Genomic DNA, 27,048 nt, shown 5'->3' with positions numbered 1-27,048 from the left:
GAAGGGAACGAGCATCTGGGAACCAGGGAAGGGATTTTTGTCTTTCTTAATTACTCTTACATCCCCAGTGCCCAAAATAGTGTCTGGCATATGTTAAGTCCTTAGTAAATACTTGTTGAATGAGTGTATGCTCAGTGAACAAAATAAATGGCAAACATTAAGCACAGTATCAGATAATTTGTGTAAAAAATATACAGCAGTGTTATACTAAAACTTGCACAGAGGCCAGGTGCAGTGGCTCACGCCTGTAATCCCAGCACTGGGAGGCCGAGGTGGGCAGATCTTTGAGCTCAGGAGTTTGAGACCAACCTGGGCAACATGCTGAAACCCTGTCTATACAAAAAATACAAAAAGTAGCTGGGGCATGGGGACGCACATCTGTGGTCCCAGCTACTTGGGAGGCTGAGGCTGGAGAATTGCTTGAAGCTGGGAGGTGGAGGTTGCAGTAAGCCAAGATTGTGCCACTGCACCCCAGCCTGGGTGACAGAGTAAGACCCTGTCTCAAAACACAAAACAACACCCCCTTCAAAAAAAATCCAAAACCACCACCACAACAAAAAAACTTACACAGAAAAGTGTTGATAATTGTCAAAATTGGGCTGTTATTGGCAATTTGACAGTAGCTGAATTACTACCATTTGAGCTATATTCACTATAGATAAGATCTTCAATATATTTACAACTTTAGTACTAATGGGAAAATGATAACTTTTGAAAAGTTTTTTTTTTTTCTTATTGCAAACAATACACAATACAATGTTAAATATAGAAGGTTAAACGTGCATCTGAGTCTGTTTGGGCTGCGATAATAGATACCTTAGACTTGGCAATTTATAAACAATAGAAATTCATTGCTGACAGTTGTGAAGACTGGGAAGTCCAAGATCAAGGCGCCAGCGAATCTGGTATCTGGTGATGGCTCCCTGCTTCAAAAATGGCGCCTTCTTGCTGCATCTTCACCTGGCAGAAGGGGCAAACATGAGTCCTTCAGCTTCTTTTTTTTTTTTTTTCTATGTTTAAAACTTTTGGTCCGGCGTGGTGGCTCATGCCTGTAATCCTAGCACTTTGGGAGGCCGAGGCAGGTGCATCATGAGGTCAAGAGATCGAGACCATCCTGGCCAACATGGTGAAACCCCCCCGTCTCTATACTAAAAATACAAAAATTAGCCAGGCATGGTGGCGTGTGCTTGTAGTCCCAGCTACTCAGGAGGCTGAGGCAGGAGAATTGCTTGAACCTGGGAGGCAGAGGTTGCAGTGAGCCAAGATTGCGCCACTGCACTCCAGCCTGGCAACAGAGTAAGACTCCGTCTCAAAACAAACAAACAAAAAAAACAAAAAAAAACTTTTATTTTAGGTTCATGGGTAAATGTACAGGTTTGTTATGTAGGTAAACTTGTCTTGGGGTTTGTTATAGATTATTTCGTCACCCAGGTACTAAGCCTAGTAACCAATAGTTATTTTTTCAGATTGTCTCCCTCCTCCCACCCTCTGTCCTCTAGTAGGCTCCAATGTCTGTTGTTCCCTTCTTAGTGTCCTTGTGTTCTCATCCTTTAGCTCCCATTTATATGTGAGAACATGTGGTATTTGGTTTTCTGTTCCTGCATTAGTTTGCTAAGGATAATGTCAGCCTCTTTTTTTTTTTTTTTTTTTTTTTTGATACAGAGTCTCGCTCTGTTGCCCAGGTTGGAGTGCAGTGGTGCGATCTTGGCTCACTGCAACCTCTGCCTCCCGGGTTCAAGTGATTCTCTTGCCTTAGCCTCCTGAGTAGCTGGGACTACAGGTGCGCACCACCATGCCAGGCTAATTTTTGTATTTTAGTAGAGATAGGGTTTCACCATGCTGGCCACGCTGGTCTCCAACTCTTGACCTTGTGATCCGCCGGCCTCGTCTTTTTCCCAAAGTGCTGAGATTACAGGTGTGAGTCACTGCACCCGGCCCAATGTCAGCCTCTTTTTTAGGGAAGTGATTTAATCACTTCCCTAAAAGTCCTACCTCGTTTTTTTTTTTGGTTTTTTCTTTTTTTTTTTTTTTTTTTTTTTTTTTTTTTTAGGTAGAGTCTTGCTCTGTCACCCAGGCTGGAGTGCAGTGGTGCGATCTTGGCTCACTGCAACCTCCACCTCCTGAGTTCAAGCAATTCTCCTGCCTCAGCCTCCTGAGTAGCTGGGATTATAGGTGCCTGCCACCACGCCTGGCTAATTTTTTTGTATTTTTAGTAGAGTTGGGGTTTCACCATGTTGGCCAGGCTGGTCTTGAACTCCTGACCTCAAGTGATCTGCCCAAAATGCTGGGATTACAGGCGGGAGCCACTGTGGCCAGCCCCTGCAAGTCCTACCTCTTAATAGTATTACACTGGGGATTACATTTCAACATGAATTTTGTAGGGGCGAGGGGCACAAACGTTTAGAATATAGCACATCACATACATAGTGAGAGAAAAATCCCTCAAAATCTTACCTGAGACAATCACTGCCAACAGATTGCTGTATAGTGTGCCAATTTTGTTTGTGTGTGTGTGTGCCTTAAAAATATTTATTATGGAAATTTAAAAACGTACCCCAAGGTGGCCAGGTGTAGTGGCTCACGCCTGTAATCCTGGCACTTTGGGAGCCCGAGGTGGGTGTATTACTTGAGGTCAGGAGTTTGAGACCAGCCTGGCCAAAATGGTGATACCAGTCTCCTAAAAATACAAAAATTAGCCGGGTGTGGTGGGCACCTGTAGTTCCAGCTACTCGGGAGACCAAGTCATGAGAATTGCTTGAACCCTGGAGGCAGAGGTTGCAGTGAGCCAAGACCATGCCACTGCACTCCAGCCAGGGTGACAGAGTGAGACTCCATCCTAGAAACAAACAAACAAACAAACAAACCAACTAACCAACCAGAGAAAACTCCCTGTCTGTAAGGAGTATGTGTTCTAATGGATACTGAGCCATCTTGTTCTGTTTAACATGTGCCTAATGTTCTTTTATATGGGCGGACTTGTAGGTTGTTTCAACTTTTCTGTTGATGAACCTTTAGGTGGTTTCTGATTATTTTTGTGTTACAACAGTTTTCATCATTCACATCTTTGTATGCATCTTTTTTGAGCACATGTGCAAGTATTTCTGTGGACAATGGATGATTCCTAGAAATTGAAAGTTTGGATTACTGTGTTCCAAAAAAGGAAGCAATACACCCAGCTATGTTGGCTTTTGCTCTTGGGTCCAGATGATTATCTGACAAAGTTATTCTCTGATTGCATTTTCTTTTCTTTTCTTTTCTTTTTTTTTTTTGAGATGGAGTTTCGCTCTTGTTGCCCAGGTTGGAGTGCAATGGCGCGATCTCGGCTCACTGCAACCTCTGCCTCCCAGGTTCAAGCGATTCTCCTGCCTCAGCCTCCTAAGTAGCTGGCATTGCAGGCATGCGCCACGACACCTGGCTAATTTTTTGTATTTTTAGTAGAGATGGGATTTCTCCATATTGGTCAGGCTGGTCTTGAACTCTTGACCTCAGGTGATCCACCCGCTTCAGCCTCCCAAAGTGCTGGGATTACAGGCGTGAGCCACAGTGCCTGGCCCTCTGACTGCATTTTCACAGTGTTTTGGGTCCTTATCTCTACCTCAGTACCTCAATATTCAGTGCCCACTGGGCCCTTAGATACTGCAGCTAAAAGTGCACAGGGGTGGAGTGATGTGACGGTTTTGGGGTCACAGAAGCAGCTGGTATAGAGAGAAGTTGTGAAGTTTTTTTTTTTTTTCCTGAGACAGAGTCTCGCTGTATCCCCTAGGCTGGAGTGCAGTGGCTTGATCTCGGCTCACTGCAACCTCTGTCTCCCTGGTTCAAGTGATTCTTATGCCTCAGCCTCCCGAGTAGCTGGGATTATAGGCATGTGTCACCATACCCAGCTAATTTTTGTGTTTTTAGTAGAGATGGGGTTTCACCATGTTGGCCAGGCTGGTCTTGAGCTCCTGACCTCAGGTGATCCGCCCACCTGGGCCTCCCAAAGTGCTGGGATTACAGGCCTGAGCCATTGCGCCTGGTCTTTTTTTTTTTTTTTTAAGTAATCATAGGCTTGAATGTAGCCTCTCATCTGTTCACCTTAATAATCCAAAAGCCTTTAGATAAAGAAATGGAGATTTGGAATGGCTTCTCAGAATTCCAAGAGAGTATTGTCATGGTTTTGCCTGCAAAGCACCGTGGTCTGTCTCCTTGTGCAGTTGAGAAAGCTGGTGGTCGCCACTGACAGGCCCAGAGTTATTAAGTTGGACACTGCTTTAAGCAACTTTGTAAACAATCCAAGGCATACTAGAGAATTAGGAGAGATTGGCTTTGTGTATGAGCAATAACAAAATCAAGTTCAATCCAGCAAGTTTTTGGGGAATTATAATTCAAAACTCAAATACTTGATCTGGAAGAAACTTGGAAAGAGGGAAGGAAGACAGGCTTGTTACAGCATTGTCAGGGTAAAAGGAAAATACCGTGCAGCTTTTAATTTTGCTTCTTCATGGCATTCCCCATGTAGGTGCCCTAGATTTGTTTTTTACAGTGGTCACGACTTCATGTGGATCCACCCACCACTCTTGCCTGGTTCCCCAAGGGACCAAGGGAAGGTGTATTCAGGATGATTGCTGAAGTGAGGGGTGGGGTCTGTGGCTGAGAAGACTCTCAATACCGCGGCACTCATTATAAGCCTCTGACACAGGAGATTTCAACTCCACCCGTGCAACAAAGGAACAGGGTGGGCAAGAGTAGTTACAGTTGCAGGCTGAGTGCGATGGTTCATGCCTGTAATCCCAGTGCTTTGGGAAGCCAAGGTGGGAGGATTGCTTGAGTCTAGGAGTTTGAGACCAGCCTGGGTGACATAATGAGACCCTACCTGTACAAAAAAATTTTAAAAATTAGCCAGATTGGTGGTGTGCGCCTATAGTCCCAGCTACTCTGGAGAATGAGGTGGGTGAGGGTCCCTTGAGTCCAGGAGTTCGAGGCTGCAGTGAGTTATGATTCTATGATTTCACCACTGCATTCCAGCCTGGGCGACAGAGCAAGATTGTGTTCTTTTTTTTTTTTGAGACGGAGTCTCACTCTGTCACCCAGGCTGAAGTGCAGTGGTACGATCTCTGCTCACTACAACCTGCACCTCCCAGGTTCAAGTGATTCTCTCCCTCAGCCTCCCGAGCAGCTGAGATTAAAAGCGGCCGCTTGTGTGCAGCTAATTTTTGTATTGTTAGTAGAGATGGGGTTTCATCATGTTGGTCAGGCTTGTCTTGAACTCCTGACCTCAGGTGATCCACCCGCCTCGCCCTCCCAAAATGCTGGGATTACAGGCGTGAGCTACTGCGCCCAGCCATTTGTGTCTCTTAAAAAAAAAACTAAGAAAATGAAAAAAATGACATTGGCCAATTCATTAAAATGCCACTCACTGACTGTGGTATGAAATGGCTTTCCCTTTGATGGACCGAGTCTGTCTCATTGTGTGAGCCACTTGCAGGGCTGAGTATGACTCTGGAATGTAGCTCCTAACCTTATCTGCTGCCCAGCCATTGAAATGGCCATCCCTTCCAGTTCCCAGAAGATTCCAGTGTGTGTTTGGGATTTTAAGACAGTCTCTTGGTCTTCAGTGTGGCATCTTTCTGCCGGATTTTCCAGGATAATTTTGATTATAAGCATTGCATTGCCCTTGGTGTGTAATGCCTGTGTATGATGCTGTTCCCTTGTAACGTGCAGGATTAAATTTTTGGGTCAGCCACTGCTGCTCCCCTTCATTCCTGCAGGTCATTAGAGTCATCGTACATTTAGCGATGTCTCAGATCAGTGTATCTAGAGTGTTAATAAACATGTTAGATTCCAAATCTACTGTCCATTTAATCCATACTTCATACGTTGAGGATCTCTGACTGAAAGATTAGACTTGGAAAAATAATAAGACTGTATGGTAAGAAAACTATAGTTGCAAATCCATTTGGACATGTAGTATGTCAGCCCTGCAGAGCAGATGTCAGAACCCCATTTAGTTCTCTGAGTGCTAAGCCCTTCTGCCCACCACGCTGTTTTTTTTTTTTGAGATGGAGTCTCGCTCTGTCACTCAGGCTGGAGTGCAGTGGTGTGATCTCGGCTCACTGCAAGCTCTGTCTCCCAGGTTCACGCCATTCTCCTGCCTCAGCCTCCCAAGTAGCTGGGACTACAGGTGCTCACCACCATGCCCAGCTAATTTTTTGTATGTTTTTGGTAGAGACGGGGTTTCACTGTGTTAGCCAGGATGGTCTGGATCTCCTGACCTTGTGATCCACCCGCTTCGGCCTCCCAAAGTGCTGGGATTACAGGCGTGAGCCACTGCTCCTGGCCCCCACGCCTTTTTTTTTTTTTGGAGACAGAGTTTCACTCTGTCACCCAGATTGGAGTGCTGTGGCACAATCTCAGCTCATTGTGTCCTCTGCCTCCCAGGTTCAAGTGATTCTTGTGCCTCAGCCTCCTGAGTAGGTGGAATTACAGGCGTGCACCACAACACCTGGCTAATTTTTGTATTTTTAGTAGAGATGGGGTTTCACCATGTTGGCCAGGCTGGTCTCGATCTCCTGACCTCCAGTGATCCACTTGCCTAGGCCTCCCAAAGTGTTGGGATTACAGGCGTCAGCCACCATGCCTGGACCCCTCTGCCCCTTTAAGCACTGCCACATATTAGATCTACGAAGGCTTTATGGATACAATCCAAGGAAGATGAACCTTGGGCTAGTGGGATAAAACTAAGCGCATGTAGTTAGAATGGAATGATCTGGAAACCAGGTCCCAAGTTGGTCTAAATTAGACTCATGTTGACTATGTCACACTGTAAACCAGTCTAAATGCTAATAAGCATGCTTGACCAAACACTGCCCTGCAGCCTTCAGAGAGGAAGAAGGAAAACATAATTTGTATCCTCTCTCCCTATTTTCTGAGTCTATGGGATTCAAATTGTAGCTGCCATGGAAACTGTACTTTGGAATTTCTAGAGCCCTTAATTTTAACTTAACATATAAAAACACTTTTGTACTGATTTTATAATTATTCATGATGGATGAGAAAGTGAATGTCTTTGACAGTGAGGGAAGCTATCCGAATGCTATTTTCTTTTTTTTTTTTCTTTCATAAAGATGCATATATTTGCATGCTTTATTTACCTGGGGCTAACTCTTGCATCTTTTGCAGATTCCGACACCATAGCTGAGTTACAGGAGCTCCAGCCTTCGGCAAAGGACTTCGAAGTCAGAAGTCTTGTAGGTTGTGGTCACTTTGCTGAAGTGCAGGTGGTAAGAGAGAAAGCAACCGGGGACATCTATGCTATGAAAGTGATGAAGAAGAAGGCTTTATTGGCCCAGGAGCAGGTAGGAGGATTTTAACATCATGCTTTTCCACTTTCTGTACCGGAGTGTTCATTGCAAAGACGATAATCTGCTGCACTGGCGTCTAGGATCAAGCACGTTTTCCTCTGTGACTCTATATTTAATTATAGTTGGGGCAAAAAGGTCTCTCATGTTCTTAGCTCATCTTCTTGAACTGATGTTGGCTAATTTTGAAGGCTCACAAATTCCTCTTGATGTATCATGTTTCTATCGTTGTAATTTATTTCAGAACCAAGGTGGCCTTTTAGCTAATGAATTTAAGATGATCTTTTATGACCATTAGCTGAGGACTCAGGATATACATATGGTGGGGTGAATCAGATTGCTTTTGTACACGCTTTAGGTATTTGTGTTGTGGGCATATGGATTTGGTTTTAAAACAGGCCTTTGAAGAAATCAAATAACATTCTTTGTTATGTGGCTAGGGAGTTGCTTGTTTGAGAGCAGGTAGAACGTTATCTTTTTTGTTGTGGTATTTTTCTTTCTTTTAAACAAGGCTACTGTCTCTAGACATATTGATTCATTTGCTGTGTTTTAGAGAGATGGCCGTCAGCCTTGGAATTCAGAGAGTAATTTATTACTTACAGACATTTTAGTGCACATGATATGTCTGATAATGTACCCAGCTCTGCAGGAAGCTTGCAAAAGGAATAGAAGTCCCATGGTTGCTATTTTCAGTGTTTAAAAACAACCTTGGAAAGTGGAGGAAAAATGCAAATGTATAAAGCAGGTGCTTACCAGCTAAAGTATCACAGAAGTGGGAGAGCAATTAGCAAATTAATTAACGATGATGTGAGGGGAGATGTTGTGGGTGAGCAAGGGACAGTTAGGGACAGTTCTCACCGATGGGGGGAAATGTAGGTTCTCGGCAGAGAGAAGTGATGAGAACATGTTGGGTAGAAGTGTGACATTCTGGAGTACTAGAATGCTATGCAAGTGTGTGTGTGTGGGTGTGTGTGTGTGTTCAGTGGTTCAGAACAGACTGGGAAATGGCGAAATGAGGACATTTGGGTGGGGAGGGGGAAATGGGTGGGAAACTCAAGAACCTTTTTTTAAAAAATTGTGGTAAAATATATATAACATAAAGTGTACCATTTTAACCATTTTTAAATGTGCAACTGAGTGGTATTCAGTGCATTCATGATGTTGTACAACCATGACCGCTCTCCATTTCTAGAATTTTTCTATCATCCCAAACAGAAACTCTCTATCCATTATACAATACCTCCCCATTCCCCCAAGAACCAGTTTTTGAATTGCAGTTTACTTTGTGAGGCTGTTGGGGATTATTTAGGCCTCTGGAAGGAGGAGGTTGGGATCAGAGTCTGGCCCTGTGGACTTCAATGACTTTGTGTGGCCTCCAATCAGAGAAGCAGCGGAGGGCAGGAAGCTGCTTGTCAGAATCTGAGAGTGATGTGGCTTCTTTGTTTAGCAATAAAATGTGAGCACATAATAGAAAGGAAAAGTGACAGGACATGGCAGATAATTTGGAAGAGAGGAGTGGAAGATGCTCACTCAGCCTCCCAGCTCCTGAGAAAGAACTGTGTCTCATCAGTTCATACTACCTGAGCATCTGTTGTATCTGGTGTGTTTCTAGGTCCTGGAGAAGAGGCATTACGTGTAGCCCTGACCTTGTGATGCTTATGTTTTTGATGGGAAATAGTGCGTGTAAAAAGAAAATAATCCAACAGGCCACACGGCAGGCAAACAATAGAGATATTCAAATAGGTATACCTTCCTCCAGGTGAATGGCCTGAAATGACCGTGTGGAAGTGTGGGCTGGGGGCTTATAAAATTATACACATACAGGCGCTAACTAAAGCCGCCTATTCATTCCTTAAGAGGATGCATAGAAAAGAAAAGTAGGGTCCTTAACTGAGCCATTTGGAATTTAAGGGCATGAGAGAAGCCAGCACAAGCAGTGAAGGGAAGGAAAAGAAGTGCCCGAGAGGAGGGAGGGATGCTGTTCTGCAGACAAGGCCTGCCGCCTGGGAGAGGCCCGCACGCCCACCCAGGGTTCTCTGACAGCTGGAAGGGGTCTTCAGAGACTGTTTATATTTTATTTATTTATTTATTTATTTATTTTGAGACAGAGTCTCTGTCACCCAGGCTGGAGTGCAGTGGTGCGATCTCAGCTCACTGCAAGCTCCGCCTCCCAGGTTCACACCATTCTCCTATCTCAGCCTCCCGAGTAGCTGGGACTACAGGCGCCTGCCACAATGCCCGGCTAATTTTTTTGTAATTTTAGTAGAGACGGGGTTTTACCTCGTTAGCCAGGATGGTCTTGATCTCCTGACCTCATGATTCGCCCACCTCGGCCTCCCAAAGTGCTGGGATTACAGGTGTGAGCCACTGTGCCTGGCCGACTGTTTCTACTATTTTAGAGAGAGGGTCTCACTGTCATCTGTGCTGGAATGCAGTGATGCAGTCATAGCTCACTGCACCCTCAAACTCCTGGGCTTAAGCGACCCTCCCGCCTCAGCCTCTTAAGTAGCTGGGACCATAGGCATGTGCTGCCACACCCAGTTAACTTTATTATTTATTTATTTATTTAGAGAATGAGTCTCATTCTGTTGCCCAGGCTAGAGGTGCAGTGGCACGATCTCGGCTCACTGCAACCCCGCCTCCCAGGTTCAAGCGATTCTTCTTGCTCAGCCTCCTGAATAGCTGGGATTACAGGCACCTGCCACCACACCTGGCTAATTTTTGTATTTTTAGTGCAGAGGGGGGGTTTCACCATGTTGGTCAGGCTGGTCTCGAACTCCTGACCTTGTGATCTGCCTGCCTCGGCCTCCCAAAGTGCTGGGATTACAGGCGTGAGCCACCGTGCCCGGCCCACTTTATTATTTTAAAAACATTGTTTTATTTTTATTTTTTTGAGACAGAGTCCGCTGGAGTTCAGTGGCCGGATCTCACTCACTGCAACCTCTGCCTCCTGGGTTCAAGTGATTCTTGTGCTTCAGCCTCTCTAGTAGCTGGGACTACAGGCGGGTGCCACCATGCCTGGCTAATGTTTTTTGTATCTTTTTAGTAGAGACGGGGTTTTGCCATGTTGGCCAGGCTGGTCTCGAACTCCTGACCTCAAGTGATCTGCCCACTTTAGCCTCTCAAAGTACTGGGATTACAGGCGTGAGCCACTGTGGCTAGCCCCCAGCTAACTTTAAAAAAAAATTTTGTGGGCCGGGTGCAGTGGCTCACGCCTGTAATCCCAGCACTTTGGAGGCCAAGCAGGGCGGATCACTTGAGGTCGGGAGTTTGAGACCAGCCTGACCAACATGGAGAAACCCTGTCTCTACTAAAAATACAAAAAATTAGCCGGGTGTGGTGGTGCATGCCTGTAATCCCAGCTACTTGGGAGCTGAGGCAGGAGAATTGCTTGAATCTGGGAGGCAGAGGTTGCAGTGAGCTTAGATCACGCCACTGCACTACAGCCTGGGCAACAAGAGCGAACACTCCGTCTCAAAAAAAAAAAATAAATTATGTAGAGGTGGGATCTCCCTATGTTGCCCGGACTGGTCTTGAACTCCTGGCCTCAAGTGATCCTTCCATCTCCCCCTCCCAAAGTGTTGGGATTACAGGCATGAGCCACCCCTCCTGGCTGAGACTGCTTATTTTATTTATTTTTAATTTTTTTTGTTTTGAGACTGCTTATTTTAATGGAAGCTTCAGGGGTCAGACGGGGTCAGACAGAGTCATTGGTGAGCAAGCAAAGGTGTAGACTGTTCAGTTCAGCCTTCCTTGGACACCTTTTATGTGCCAGACAAAAGAAGGATCAGCATATCAGGTGCAGTAAATTATTGGGGTTATGTTGGTGTTTCCCAAATGTGTTAGATTTATCCCTGGTAGTGTTAAATCTCATGATTTTAGGTAGTATATGGACAACCTATGTAAAAACATTTAATAGTTTAATATTAACTAGCATATCAAAACCTGTGACTTTGCTCACGCCTGTAATCCCAGCACTTTGGGAGGCCAAGGCGGGAGGATGGTTTGGGCCCAGGAGTTTGAGGCCAGCCTAGGTAACATGGTGAGACCCTGTCTCTAAAACAAAACAAAACAAAACAAACAAACAAACAAATAAACAAATCCCCTGTAACTTGTTCTAACAATAACCTAAACAATTTTTTATTTAAAATTAAATAAAAAAATTGAAACAGTAACCATTTTTTTTTTTTTTTTTGGAGACAGAGTCTTGCTTTGTCACCTAGTCTAGAGTGCAGTGGCACAATCTCTGCTCACTGCAACCTCTGCCTTCAAACAATTCTCCTGCCTCAGGCTTCTGAGTAGGTGGGATTGATTACAGGTGCACTCCACCATGCCCAGCTAATTTTTGTATTTTTAGTAGAGACGGGGTTTCACCATGTTGGCTAGGCTAGTCTTGAACTCCTGACCTGCAGTAGTCCACGTGCCTTGGCCTCCCAAAGTGCTGGGATTACAATCACAAATTTATAGAAAAGTTGCAAGTACCATGTAGTCAGGGTTCTTAAGAGAAATGGAACCAGTAGGAGATAGATATATAATCATCTCCTAGGATTATAAGTTGACACATAAGACTAACCGTCACATACAGTATAAACAACTTTTTTTCTTAAACCATTTGATAGATACACACACACTGATATACATAGAATATATATACACACACACAGAATGTATATACACATAGAATATATGTGCATACAGAATATATACACAGAAATATATATGTACACATGCATAGAATATATTTACATATATATGCATATATATAATTTATTTATTTTAAGCAGTTGATTTATACAGTTTTTGTTTTTGTTTTTTTTTTGAGACAGAGTCTCACTCTGTCACCCAGGCTAGAGTGCAGTGGCGAGATCTCAGCTCACTGCAACCTCTGCCCCCGGGTTCCAGTGATTCTCCTGCCTCAGCTCCACAAGTAGCACACCACCATGCCCAGCTAATTTTTGTATTTTTTTTAGTAGAGACGAGGTTTCATCATGTTGGCCAGGCTGGTCTCGAACTCCTGACCTCAAGTGATCCGCCCGCCTTGGCCTCCCAAAGTGCTGGGATTTCAGGCGTGAGCCACCACACCTGGCTCCCATAATGTCTTTTAGAATAAAACGATCGAGTTGAGGATCACACGTGACACTTAATTGTCCTGTCTCTTTAGTCTCCTTCAATCTGGAGCAGTTCTTTGATTTTTCCTGGACTCTCATGACCTTGACAATTCTGATGATTATAGGCCAGTTATTTTGTAAAATTTGAATTTGTCTGATGTTGCTTATGTTTAGATTTAGGGTCTTGGTCTTTGGCCGGAATATCTCAGACAAGATGCTCTGTTCTTATTGCATCAGAGCAGAAGACTCTCTGTTTCAGTTGATCACATTTATGTTGATGCTCACTTTGATCACTTGATTAAGGTGGTGTCAGTTATGCCTTTCTACTTGTAGGGTTACTCCTTCCTCCTTCGTGATTTTATTTATTTTATTTTTCTTAGAGACAGGGTCTTGCTTGGTTGCCCAAGCTGGAGTGCAGTGGTGGGATCTTGGCTCACTGCAGCCTTGAACTCCTGGGCTCAAGTAATCCACCTGCCACAGCCTCCTGAGTAACTGGGACTGTAAGCGAACACCACCACACCCAGCTACTTTTTGTATTGTAGAGATGGGGTCTCACTGTGTTGTCCAGGCTGGTCTGTAACTCCTGGCCTCAAGCAGTCTTCCGGCCTTGGCCTCCCGAAGTGCTGGGATTACAGGCATGAGCCACTGCACCCAGCCTCCTTTGTAATTAAAAAAGTATTTTATGGGGAGTTACTTTCAAGTGATGGAAATATTTTATATCTATGTGGACTTGGATTTTCCTATTTCAGTCAGTGAGTTATAATCCATTTCTGTCACTAGTTTTATACTTAAATTGTTCCCAACTTGGCCACTGAGAACCTTTTTAGGTTAGCTTTTGTGTCCTTTTCACATGTCTCCAAGATTCATTGAATACTTTCCTGCTTTCTGGTATAGCAAGATGTTCAGGTTCTTTTGGTACTTTTACTTTCTCTGCCCTGGCTCTGGCATCAGTCATTTCTCAGAGGAGCCCTGTGCCTTTCAGTGGACAATGGTGTTTAGAGGCCAAGATCTGGACATTGGGTGTTTTCATTGCTACCGGTGTGTCACTACTCCCAGACCCCTTTCAGTGGACAGCACTAAGGAATACACATACGTATATACAATATATCCACCTACACATGTGCGTGCACTCACACACACACATATACATTACATCTATATTTGTGTATCCATGTCTATATATTGAAAATTGTGGCTGGGCACAGTGGCTTATGCCTTTAATCTCAGCATTTTGGGAGGCTGAGGCAAGAGGATCACCTGAAGCCAGGAGTTCAACACCAGCTTGGGAAACAGAGAGAGACTCTGTCTCTACAAAAATAAAAAGGGAAAACCATGAGTTCACACCCGTGCCCCCAGTTCCAATCCAACTTCACAGGGTTCATTTTAGTTTTCACCCTTTCCATGTTTGTAATTCTCTTCTCTGACATTATACCCTTAATATGTTTACTTATTTTATGCATCTGTATGCATCCAATCTACTGTCTTTGTTGGTATCCCACCTCCCCTTGGTGGGTCCAGATAATCTGCTCTGGGTTGCCCTTTCACGTGGATGTCTTCCTTACCCTGTGTGGGCCTGTGATACTGGGCTGCCCCCACACATGAGTGCTGCCCTCCTCACGTTGCTTGGGACGGCACTGTGTCCTGGGCCACCATGACTTTTCTCATAACTAGCGTGGATGCTTACCTTGTTCCACACCAGTGAATGGCTTCAGGAAGAGAAGAGGAAGAGAAAAATATTTACATTTAAAGAAAGGTAGTTTAAAGAAATATGTTAGGTAAAGAATTGAGCAGGTAATATACGGAGCTGGCAAAAATTGTGACCAAAGTAGGTGAATGATTGAGATTTATGCAATTCTGGGCTAAGTGACAGCCCCTTCCCTTTCCCTTCCCTTCCCCTTCCCTTCCCTTTTCTTCCCTTTCCCTTCCCTTTCCTTCCCTTTCCCTTCCCCTTCCCTTCCCTTTCCTTCCCTTTCCCTCTTCTTCCTTCCTTCCTTCTGTTTTCTTTTCCCTTCTTTCCTTTGCCTTTTTTTTTTTTTAAAGCTAGAAACATCAGTTTAGGCATAAAGACAGAGGAAAAGGCTTCTTTTTCCTCTCACAGTTCTTTATAATTGTCTAAGCAGTTTCTTTTTTCCCTAGGTTTCATTTTTTGAGGAAGAGCGGAACATATTATCTCGAAGCACAAGCCCGTGGATCCCCCAATTACAGTATGCCTTTCAGGACAAAAATCACCTTTATCTGGTGAGTCTTTACATCTGTCTCTCTGGAATTAGCCTAGCACTCTGACACTCAGATGCCTGTGGTAGAACTGAATGTTGTTCTTGCCCATGTGGTCTCATTCATGCAAAGACTTTCTTACCTTACAGGTGTCTCCCTGGTTTCCTCGTTATAAAGATCAAGAGCTAACCCATTTAGAAACAGCCTCATTGGGCTGAACGTGGTGGCTCACGCCTGTAATCCCAGCATTTTGGGAGGCCGAGGCGGGTGGATCACGAGGTCAGGAGATCAAGACCATCCTGGCTAACACAGTGAAACCCCGTCTCTACTAAAAATACAGAAAAATTAGCCGGGCATGGTGTCGGGTGCCTGTAGTCCCAGCTACTCAGGTGGCTAAGGCAGGACAATCGCTTGAACCTGGGAAGCGGAGCTTGCAGTGAGCCGAGATTGCGCCACTGCACTCCAGCCTGGGTGACAGAGCAAGACTCTATCTCAAAAAAAAAAAAAAGAAAAAAAAAGAAACAGCCTCATTGACAGTTGGATATTGTAGCTGTGGCTTTCAGGCAATAATAGGGAATCATTTATTGGGGAATAGTCTGTCATTATGTATAAGATAATCTTGCTTTAATTTTTAAAAACTTCCTGTGTTAGCTTGCTTAGGATTAAAAAAATGATAATAGTGCATGGTTGTTATAAGAAAATGCAAACACTGCAGACATGCATGAAGTTGAAGGGAAAGCCCCCCATTTTCTTTTCCTTTTCTTTTTTTTTGAGACAGAGTCTCGCTTTGTCACCCAGGCTGGAGTGCGGTGGCACTATCTCGGCTCACTGCAATCTCCACCTCCCAGGTTCAAGAGATTCTTCTGCCTCAGCTTCCCTAGTAGCTGGGATTACAGGCACGTGTCACCACGCCCAACTAATTTTTGTATTTTTAGTAGAGATGGGGTTTTACCACGTTGGCCGGGCTGGCCGCAAACTCCTGACCTCAAATGATCCACCTGCCTCGGCCTCCCAAAGTGTTGTGATTACAGGAGTGAGCCACTGTGCCCGGCCTCTCCGTTTTATTTTCTAATCCTCCTCCCTAGGGGAAGAAATGTTAAATGGTTACATAAGCTTTCCCTTTCTGACCCTTAACTGTGCTCTGTAGGAGCATGGTGGGGGATGTTTCTTTTCTTTTCTTCTTTTTTTGAGACCAGGTCTCACTTTGCCACCCAGGCTGGAGTTCAGTGGCATGAACATGGCTCACTGCAGCCTCGACTTCCTGGGCTCCAGCAAACCTCCCACCTCAGCCTCCCGGGCATACACCACTGTGCCTGGCTAATTTTTGTATTTTTAGTAGAGACGGGGTTTTGCCATGTTGCCCAGGCTGGTTTCGAAGTCCTGAGCTCAAGAGATCTTCCTGCCTTGGCCTTCCAAAGTGCTGGGATTACAGGTGTGAGCCACCATGCCCAGCTCCGGTGGGGGATATTTCTATATCCACATGTGTATAGTTTACTTTATAAAAATGGTATGTTACTCTGTGCTTGGCTCTCCAGCTTGCTGTTGCCTTTCACCAGTGTATCCCAGACATCCTTTCTTCCTTGTCAGTAACGCAGGTCTACTTTATTCTTTGAGCAGTGGCATAATTTTCCCTGATGTGTATATATCATAAGTTAGAGAATGCTAAAATTCATTTTGGGGCCTTGTTTAGGTTCTTGAGGGATTAAATTCCTAAATTTAACAAGTGTATCCTGGAAACAATTTTTGTTCCTGATTCAGCCCTTAAAAGAGGACTATCATGTTACCTTGAATGGAGATAAACAGGCTCACGTAAGAGAAAAGGGTAAGAGGGATGAACTCCCACTTATCTTAAACTTCTACTGGCCCGTTTTTGGGGAATTTGCTGCTTTTATTCCTGACCTAAAATAAATAAGTTTATGTGTCTTGGTTTCATATTAGTTGAGAACCCAGTGCCTGGAGAGAAGTTTTCCTTGTCCTCTGAGTGAGGACATTCACATATGAATCTATTGGCAGACTGGCTTTGACTGACCACACGTGCCTTCAGAACCAATGCCACAGCTCTTAGGTTTATGGCCTGAAACACCCTTTCCTTACATATTGCCTTAGAAACTTTCCTTCCTTGAGACATGGGGCATGGAACCCTCACCTTCACAGATGACCTTGGTGTGTTTCTAGGGTTGCTGGTGTTCCAGGACATCTGTTGCAGATGCAGTATTTACCTTGTGCTCTCTGCATCATAAGCAGCTTCTCATGTTTGAATGTATTAACAGACTTTTAATTTTTTTTATTTTTGAGACAAAGTCTCACTCTGTCACCCAGGCTAGTGTTACCCAGGCTGGAGTGCAATGGCTCAATCTCAGCTCACTGCAACCTCCACCTCCTGGGTTCAAGCGATTCTCTTGCCTCAGCCTCCCGAGTAGCTGGGATTACAGGTGCATGACACCACGCCCTGCTAATTTTTGTATTTTTAGTAGAGACGGGGTTTCGCCATGTTGGTGGGGCTGGTCTCAAACTCCTGACCTCAGATGATCTGCCCGCCTTGGCCTCCCAAAGTGCTGGGATTACAGGCGTGAGCCACTGCGCCTTTTCTTTTCATTTTTTTTCTGAGATGGAGTCTTTCTCTGTCACCAGGCTGGAGTACAGTCATGCAATCTCAGCTCACTGCAACTTCCACCTCCTGGGTTAAAGTGATTCTCCTGTCTTAGCCTCCTGTGTAGCTGGGACTACAGGCGTGTGCCACCGTGCCCAGCTAATTTTTATATTTTTAGTAGAGACGGGGTTTTGCCATGTGGGTTAGGCTGGTCTTGAACTCCTGACCTCAGGTGATCCACCCGTCTTGGCCTCCCAAAGTGCTGGGGTTATAGGCGTGAGCCACTGTGCCCAGCCTCAGGCTTCTTTATTAAGAAGAAGTTCGGGCCAGGTGTGGTGGCTTACACCTGTAATCCCAGCAATTTGGGAGGCCGAGGTGGGCAGATCAGGAGGTCAGGAGATCGAGACCATCCTGGCTAACATGGTGAAACCTCGTCTCTACTAAAAATATAAAAAATTAGGCAGGTATGGTGGCGGGTGCCTGTAGTCCCAGCTACTCGGGAGGCTGAGGGAGGAGAACGGTGTGAACCTGGGAGGCGGAGCTTGCAGTGAGCCCAGATTGTGCCAGTGCACTCCAGCCTGGGTGACAGAGCGAGGCTCCGTCTCAAGAAAAAAAAAAAAGACGTTCCCTTGAAACAACAGGGCTTTTGTTTGTTTTGGTTTGTGTTTGTTTGTTATTGTTGTTTTAGATACGTATTTTTTTCTTTCTTTTTTTTTTTTAAGTGATGATGTCTCTGTTGCAGTGGCATGATCATAGCTCACTGTAACCTCAAATTGCAGGGCTCAAGTGATTCTCCTGCTTCACCTTCCTGATTAGCTGGGACAACAGGTACAAACCACCATGCCTAGCGAATTTTTAAATTTTTCATAGAGACTAGGGTCTCACTATGTTGCCTAGGCTGGTTTCGAACTCCTGGCCCCAAGTCATCCTCCTGCCTTGGCTTCCCAAATTGTTGGGATCACAGGCATGAATCACCACACCCAGCCTATTTTTAGATATTTTAATTCGAGCTCTACAGGAGGTTTAGAACACTAGCTTGTGAAGATAAACTTCATTTTCAAGGCCACACAGAATCTAAGTGGTCCTGGAATTAGGAAGGGCTTTGATTTTTTGGACCAAAGTTGAGAGTCCACAGTTTTCTGGTCTACCTTGCACTGCTCCATAAACTCATATTTCTTTTCTCTGAGCTGAAGAGCTCCCCTTCTTGGTGTCTAGTCTCAGGCAACTTATTCTTAAAAGTAAGCATTATTGAAATGCTTTGGGATTTTCACATCATCAAGGTCCATTTTGGTAGAGGCACTGACAGATTTTGAGTGTTCTGTGTGAAGGAACTCAGTTGAGGATTTAGTGGTCCATGTGGCAGGCTACTGCTCAGTAGCTTCAGGGAAACCACTGCTTGCCTCCCCTGTGGCCAGTGAGGATGATCAGAGGAGTCCCAGCAGGAATGCCCAAATGTAGTTTTCTTACATGTTGATGGGAGTGCATTGTTTCATGTCTAAACAGTTCTCAAATCACATCTTCAGGAGGGTACTATCTGGGCACTTTGATAATTTCTCACTTTGATGTCACCGTTCTTATTACCATCACCTAGTTTTGTCATAGTAGAAATAACTTTCCTTTTTCTGTGTGTGTGTGTGTGTGTGTGTGTGTGTGTGTGTGTGTGTTTTGAGATGGAGTCTTGCCGTGTTGCCCAGGCTGTAGTGCAGTGGCGTGTTCTCGGCTCACTGCAACCTCTGCCTCCCGGGTTCTCCTGCCTCAGCCTCCCGAGTAGTTGGGATTACAGGCGTGTGACACCACGCCCGGCTCATTTTTGTATTTTCAGTAGAGATGGGGTTTCACCACTTTGGCCAGGCTGGTCTTGAACTCCTGACCTTGTGATCCGCCCACCTTGACCTCCCAAAGTGCTGGGATTGCAGGTGTGAGCCACCACGCCTGGCTTTTTTTTTTTTTTTTTTGAGACAGAGTCTTGCTCTGTTGCCCAGGCTGGAGTGCAGTGGCGGGATCTTGGCTCACTGCAGCCTCCACCTCCTAGGTTCAAGCAATTCTTCTGCCTCAGCCTCCTGAGTAGCTGGGATTACAGGTGCCCACCACCATGTCCGGCAAATTTTTGTATTTTTAGTAGAGACAGGGTTTCACCATGTTGGCCAGGCTGGTTTCTAACTCCTGACCCCAGGTGATCCGCCTGCCTCAGCCTCCCAGAGTGATGGAATTACAGGCATGAGCCACTGCGCCTGGCCACCTTTGTCTTCTTAGTTGTGGATTTAACTGCTGTGGACATCTGCTTGGGCATAGCCTTCCCGGAGTACCTCTTGGATTGGGACTGTCTGTGGGTTTCTGTGCTAGGACAGGCTCCCAGATGTAGGAGGCTTCCCCAATGATCTCACCACTGGCATCGGCATCCTTAGCTTCTACTCAGCTTTTCCATCTGCCATCTTGCAAGATGGAAGGTTGTTTTGTTTTTGTTTTTGTTTTTTGGTTTATTTTTTTTGAGATAGAGTCTCGCTCTGTTGCCAAGGCTGGAGTTCAGTGGCGCAATCTCGGCTCAGTGCAACCTCCACCTCCTGGGTTCAAGTGATTCACCTGCCTCAGCCTCTGGAGTAGCTGGGATTACAGGCGCGTGCCACCATGTTCGTTTAATTTTTTGTATTTTTAGTAGAGACGGGGTTTCACCGTGTTAGCCAGGATGGTCTCGATCTTCTGACCTCATGATCCGCCTGCTTCAGCCTCCCAGAGTGCTGGGATTACAGGCGTGAGCCACCGTGCCCAGCCTAGGAGGGTTCTTAATGCAGCTGTTTTTTGGAGTTCTGGTTGCCTCAGCACACTGCTACTTGGGTCAATGACATTTTTACTCCCTTGTTTTGTAGCTCAATTGGGTATTACTGATGGGATTTTGTAATTATTAATATTTTCTTGTCTCCATTTTCTTCTCAAGTACTTTGTTGCTTTTGAGTAAAATGCTTGCTAAGGGTATAGTTTTCACATAAAAGCTCAAATTTAGCATGGAAATTAAGATATGCTCATACGTCTGCCATCCCTTATCTGTAATTCTGAAATACCTAGAGTTCTGAATAACCTCAAATTCTTTTGTTACTTGTTTATCAGCAAAACCTGATTTGAACTCAGTTTTTGGCAAAACTTGATCCAAGCTCTCTTAAGGCTCTTTTTAGTCTTTATTCATTCCCTTTAGTGTGACTTCCCATTTTGCTATAAAATTATGAGTGTGTTTGATTACAAGGTGATGTCCCAGACCCTACTGAGGGTGTTACATAATATAAACTGTATGTATGGCTGGGCGCGGTGGCTTATACCTGTAATCCCAGCACTTTGGGAGGCCGAGGCGAGCGGATAACCTTAGTTCAGGAGTTCAAGCCCAGCCTGGCCAACATGGTGAAACCCCGTCTCTACTAAGAATACAAAAATTAGCCAGGCATGATGGTGGGCGCCTGTAATCCCAGCTACTCCTTAGGCTGAGGCAGGAGAATCACTTGAACCCAGGAGGTGGAGGTTGCAGTGAGCCAAGGTCATGCCACTGCACTCCAGCCTGGGCGACAAAGCAAGAATCTGTCTCAAAAAAAAAAAAAAAAAAGTGTGTGTACCACTTTACCTTTCTAAAATCTGAAAAATTCTGAATCTGGAAACCCATTCTGCTTCAAGATAAATGGATCCTAGATTTATATCGGTACCGTACAGTCCTGAAATTCCATCCTATCTATTGGCCACTTTTACATCAACAAACCTTTGAAGTTTGGGGAAACTTACATATCACGCTCCCTTGGCAGTTGAACATTATTTATTTATTTTGAGATGGAGTCTCGCTTTGCCCAGGCTGGAGTGCAGTGGCGCGATCTTGGCTCACTGCAACCTCTGCCTCCCGGGTTCAAGCAATTCTCCTGCCTCAGCCTCCTGAGTAGCTGGGATTATAGGCATGCAACACCATGCCCAGCTAATTTTTGTCTTTTTAGTAGAGACGGGGTTTCACTATGTTAACCAGGCTGTTCTCGAACTCCTGACCTTGTAATCTTCCCTCCTCGGCCTCCCAAAGTGCTGGAATTACAGGCGTGAACCACCACGCCTGGCCCTGAAGATACATTTTAAATCAATGAAAAAAACAACAGGATTCTACCTCCTATGGTATATCCCTCCTGGCTGTCTCTTCTCTCCAGTCTTGCCTCTGCTGTGTGGGTTTCAGGCATCCATCTTCTCTACTCTGAATTACTGTGATAACCTCTGAAGTATTTTCCCTGCCATCTGTCTGGCCCTTCTCCCAGGTCTTCCACATACTGCAGCCAAGTCAGCCCGCTGTTGAAACCCTTCAAGACTCCCTGCTGTCCTCTGGATGAAGTCCAGACTCTTCCACGTGACTTACCAGGCCTTTCTTGCACTTGTCCCCAGCCACTTACTGTTTCTCTCTTTCTACCTTAACATCCTGAACTTCCTTTGGTTCTTTGACCTTGCCTCTGACCTTTTTCCATGCTGTTCACTCTTTCCCTGTTCACCTTGCTAACTCCTCTTTCTCTTTCTGGGTTGGATCAGATTTCACTTCTTCCAGAAGCCCTTCCTAGACCCTATACTTCTGGAATGGCGCCTTTTGACTGTACGCTCATTGCACCCTGTACTTCTCCTTTATGAGTGGGTGCTGGTCTGTCCCACTAGGCTACTTCATCCATAAAGGGAGAGTAGAGCTTTACCAAGTCAATGCTTAAGCAATATTTATTGGATGAATGTGTGATTAATTTCATAGAAATTTGATGTGCATTCAAATTTACTTATTGTATTACGGAACTTGCATTATATTCTCAGTGGAGTTATTTTCTTTCACGTGTGTAATTCAAGATAGACTCAGTGAGATTTTCAAAATTTGGAATGCAGTGCAAGGAAATTGAACTTGAGTTCTTTTGCATTTTGATGGTTAAAAATTTCCCATTTGTGGTGACATACCACAATAAGCCAGTGAATGTGGCTTATTGTTTTCTGGTCTATAGAAAATTGTCGCAAACTCTGTCATAATGTCTGGTTCTATATAACAAAGCTAGTCCTGTATTCTGCATGTGGCTGATGGAAACAGTGCTCTGTTGATCTGGTTCATGAAGAAATCTGTTCAATTCTGCATAACAGATGCCTTCATCAGTGTCCTTCCATGAAGGAGCTGATCTTCACAAAGAACACATAGTTTTGCATCCCACCACTTGCAGTATTTTTTTTTTTTTTTTTTTTTTTTTGAGATGCAGTCTCGCTCTGTCACCCTGGCTGGAGTGCAGTGGCATGATCTCAGCTCAGTGCAACCTCTACCTCCTGGGTTCAATTGATTCTCCTGCCTCAGCCTCCTGAGTAGCTGGGATTACAGGCGCACACCACCATGCCTGGCTAATTTTTGTTGTTTTAGTAGAGACGGAGTTTCACCATATTGGTCAGGCTGGTCTCAAACTCTTGACCTCATGATCTGCCTGCCTTGGCGTCCCAAAGTGTTGGGATTACAGGCGTGAGTCACTGTGCCCTGCCAGTATTGTTTTGTCTAAATTATTTGTGCTGATGTTTTTCCTACTGTGGTTTTCTTCAGATTACCCTTGCTCTGAGCCTGCAATTGACTCATGAACTTCTTTTCCATGTTCTAACCTTACAATGACTTCCTTGTGTTCACTCCAAATGTTTTTCCCTGGTTGCATGTAGAGATGTATTAGCTAAGGTACATGCTTAGCTGCTGTATCAAAGAGACCCTAATGTACAACCCAGGCTGGTAGAGCAGCTCTGCTGTATGTGTTAATTCAGGGACCCAGGTTCCTTCCATGTTGTGACTCCCCCCTTCCTTAGGATGTTGTCTTCTTTTACATGGCTGAAGTTGGGCCATTTCATGTCTCTGTTCCAGCTGCCTGGTAGGAAAAAAGAACAGAAATTCAGAGTAAGCAAATTCTTTTTCTATAGATGGATGCGGAAGTTGGACACATCATTTCCTCTCACATTTTCTCGGCCAGAACGTAGTCATGTGACTGCACGTCTAGCTGCTAAGGAGACTGGGAATTTACTGTCGGCTGTGTGGCCTCTGTCAAGCTAAAATTCTTATTACTGTGGAATAAGGGAAGGATGGATTTGGGGGCACAATTAATAGTCTGTCACAGAGGCTAAAACAGCTGCTTTTGGCTGGGCACGGTGGCTCACACATGTAATTTCAGCACTTTGGGAGGCCGAGGCAAGTGGATCACTTGAGATCAGGAATTTGAGACCAGCCTGGCCAACATGGTGAAACCCTGTCTCTCCTAAAAATATAGAAATTAGCCGGGCATGGTGGCGGGTACCTGTAATCCGAGCTACTCCAGAGGTTGAGGCAGGAGAATTGCTTGAACCTGGAAGGCAGAGGTTGCAGTGAGCCAAGATGGTGCCACTGCACTCCAGCCTGGGCGACAGAGCAAGACTCCATCTCAAAAAAAAAAAAAAAGGTTAAATAAACAGCTGCTTTTGTAGGTGATACAAGGTACAGCTAAGCTTTGAAGCCAGGCCTGTAGTTTCACCTTCCATATTCTTACTCAAGGCATTATACTTCTGGATCTGAAACCACTGGATCTGATGCCCTGCTTGGGATGAGTTCTTTATATTATCTTGCTTTCAACCCACACCTGTGTAATTTTATGGGCAGCGTTTGTTTCCTATATAGGAACAATTTGAAAGTGGGCTGTTTCTAGGCTTTCATGAATAGCAGGCTATGCTGTCATTGGGAATCTGGAGGGAGTTAATGAACACAACTTCATTGTTTACTTTAGTGAAATGTGGCAGCTTATGATAGTTTTGACAGTGAGACATGTGCTGTTTTGATCTCTCAGCTAAGATTATCTGATTTTTCAGGCATGTCTCAAAACTCACCAGGCCTGCTCACATGCTGCTGCTTCTGAAGCCAGGGTTTGGAAACCAGCTGCCCATCAGAATGAGGCTGTGACTTAGAATATTGGTTCTTGTTTTATTACCATTCCTTGTTTGGTCTCTCCAGAGTCACTGGCCTTTTCCGCTTCAATTTTCTTATCGGTGAAATGAGATATTAATTCCTCTTATTGACTTCAATTCAATTGCTGAGTGTATTGTTGCCTTTGGGAGGTTCTTTGAGTTTTCTGTGCCTTTGAAATAGTTGTTTTTTTTTATTCTGGTGTTTTGAGGCATGTTTCAAGTGAGTGCATTTACACTTCTACCATTTTAGGAGCCACAATTCAGTTATGTTGTCCCAGCTTGCTTGGCCCCATCCCCAGAGTTTCTGATTCAGTAGGTCTGGGGTGGGGCCCAATAATTTGCATTTCTTCTTCTTTTTTCGAGACAGAGTCTGACTGTGTCATCCAAGCTGGAGTGCAGTGGCACGATCGTAGCTCATTGTAGCCTCAAACTCCTGGGCTCAAGCCGTCCTCCCACCTCACCCTCCTGAGTAGCTGGGACTATAGGCATATACTACCATGCCCTGCCACCTTTTTAATTTTTTGTAAGGATGGGGGTCTCACTGTGTTGCTCAGGCTGGTCTTGAATTCCTGGGCTGAAGTGATCCTCCTGCTTCAGCCTCCCCAAATGCCGGCATTCCTGGCATGAGCCACTGCACTTGGCCAAGACTTTGCATTTCTAACTAGTTTCCAGGTAATGCTGCTGCTGGTGTAGGGACCTCATTTTGAGAACCATTGTTCTATAGCTGTAGCTATAGTTAGTTTCTGGTTATAGCTTCTTCCTTTTGTCCCTTCAGTAATAGTGTACACATCCGAAATCCCTGTCCTTGCTCTTTCAGGCCCAGGCATGGTATCTGGTCCTCTTCTGTTGCTAGCCCTGGGGTGCTTCATCATCCCAAGTTTATTTTTCTTCTCCTAACCTGAACCTTTGTAAATAGCCCCTTCCCTAATGAACGTCCTCAATTCCCTGTTTTGCGTGTCCTGTCTGTTTCTTGGCAAGACTCTGGATGATTCAGTACTCAATGAGGATTTTTCGCATAGATGGATGAAACAGGCTGGGTTTCATGTTTTCTAAGATAAAGGTGCTTCTCTCTTTTTCTCTTGGTCACTTTGACCAAGAAGAAAATAACAGAGTTTTTATTCTCAAGAAGAATAATATCGGGGCCACTCTGCTCAGAGGCCACTCTGCTTTGAGGACCCCTTCTCTCCTCCCTCATGCCAAAGATCAGGAACATTGGGCAGAGCGGATAACGATGCCGCCAGCGTCATTACATTTTCACGGCACTTTCAGTTGTGCTGAGCGTGCAAACATTTCAAGGAGACATTTCTAAGAGGTGGCTAGCACAGCATGCCTCTAATGCCCTATGTGAATTGGAATAGAGTACTAAAGAACTGTTCAATATTCACCCCATCCCCGCATATGCAAGCATGCACGTGGGTTCATTGTATATGTGTGTGTGCACGTGTGCACAGACACATTTGTCCTTCGTTTCAAATGCAACACAATGGATGGAAATTGCCTTCCTGGTACTGGGGTATGGATGCAAACACCAACAGAGAAGCAGCCGCTACTTCCAAACTGAACACATGTGAGATTTGCCCTTTAATTAGCATCTGCAGCTGCTGCCATCAGAAGGGTCTGTCTCTGTTGGCCTGAAAGTCTTTGCTTTAAAAGAGCAAGTCCATTATAGCTCCAAGCCAGGCTCGTCTGTCAGCTGCTGTGCTTTCTCTGCCATCAGCGGGGTTGCCACATTGTTTTGGGCTGTTTCACTCTAGGACTCTTTCCTCCTCCTGTGCCCCCAGCCTTTGATTACCATGCCTTGGTGATCCTCATTTGGGTGACCTGCAGCTGCTCATTGTGTGTGCAGGAGACATCTCCAGTCCTTGTAAGGAGGGAAGATCACTGGCTTCAGTGCTGATGGACTGGTTATTTTCCAGCCCTTTGTCGTCAGTGATCTTGTCTTGATATGCAGAAAGGCTCCAGGTAGTCACTGAAAAAAATATAAGCAGCAGAGGTGATGGCTATATGAAAGTCACGTTTCATCAAGGGCATTGCTGCTATGGAAACTTTCAATTCACTTGGAGTAGGGAGCCATATTGGTTCCACAGCCTCCTCAGCAGTGGGTCCCAACACAGTGCTGGGCTAGCTGCCTCTGAATCACCGCAGTAGCTCCTTTTACTATAGATTCCTGGGTCCCACCCATGGAATGTGATCCATGAAGTCTGGGGTTATTCCCTGGAATCCTTTAAGCTCCCTAAGTGGTTGGGATGGGAAAGAGATATGCTTTATGTTACTATACTTCTTCTTATTATTATTTTAAAATTCTTGCCGGGCGCAGTGGCTCACACCTGTAATCCCAGCACATTGGGAGACCGAGGCGGGTGGATCACTTGAGGTCAGGAGTTCGAGACTGGCCTGGCCAACATGATGAAATCCTGTCTCTACTAAAAATACAAAAATTAGCTGGGCATGGTGGCGCATGCCTGTAGTCCCAGCCACTCCGGAGGCTGAGGCAGGAGAATCGCTTGAACCCGGGAGGCAGAGGTTGCAGTGAGCCGAGATCGTGGCACTGCACTCCAGCCTGGGTAACAGAGTGAGACTTCATCTCAAAAAAAACCCAAAAAAACAAAACTCTTTTTCATTATACCGGAACGTCAGCTTTATGGAGTCGGGGATTTTTTCTGTTTTATTCACTGCTGTTTCCCTAACATCTAGAATAGTGGCTGGCACGATAGGCACTCAAGTATTGATTTAGATGAGTCTATTTTATTTTCTTTTAAATTTTTAATTTTTATTAGAGGTGGGGTCTGGCTTTGTTGCCCAAGCTGGTCTCAAAACTCCTGGCCTCAAGCGATTGTACTGCCTCAGCCTCCCAAAGGGCTAGGATAGG

General features: G+C 45.0%; 1 protein-coding gene across 12 annotated transcripts in view; it reads left to right on the top strand.

Annotated features, from left to right (window-relative positions):
- The window catches only part of CIT (citron rho-interacting serine/threonine kinase), a 191,530-nt gene that overhangs the window by 12,464 nt on the left and 152,018 nt on the right, over positions 1–27,048 (top strand). For all 12 annotated transcript variants that reach the window (XM_011537788.2, XM_011537787.2, XM_047428134.1 and 9 more), the window contains exons 4-5: positions 7,159–7,334; positions 14,582–14,683. In XM_011537788.2, coding sequence (XP_011536090.1) covers positions 7,159–7,334; positions 14,582–14,683 — 278 coding nt within the window. The remainder of the gene's footprint in view (positions 1–7,158; positions 7,335–14,581; positions 14,684–27,048) is intronic.

The sequence above is a fragment of the Homo sapiens genome, chromosome 12 (assembly GCF_000001405.40).
Source record: "Homo sapiens chromosome 12, GRCh38.p14 Primary Assembly".
NCBI lineage: Eukaryota > Metazoa > Chordata > Mammalia > Primates > Hominidae > Homo > Homo sapiens.
The sequence above is the reverse complement of the archived record's forward strand: the minus strand, read 5'-3'. Positions and strand labels throughout refer to the sequence as shown.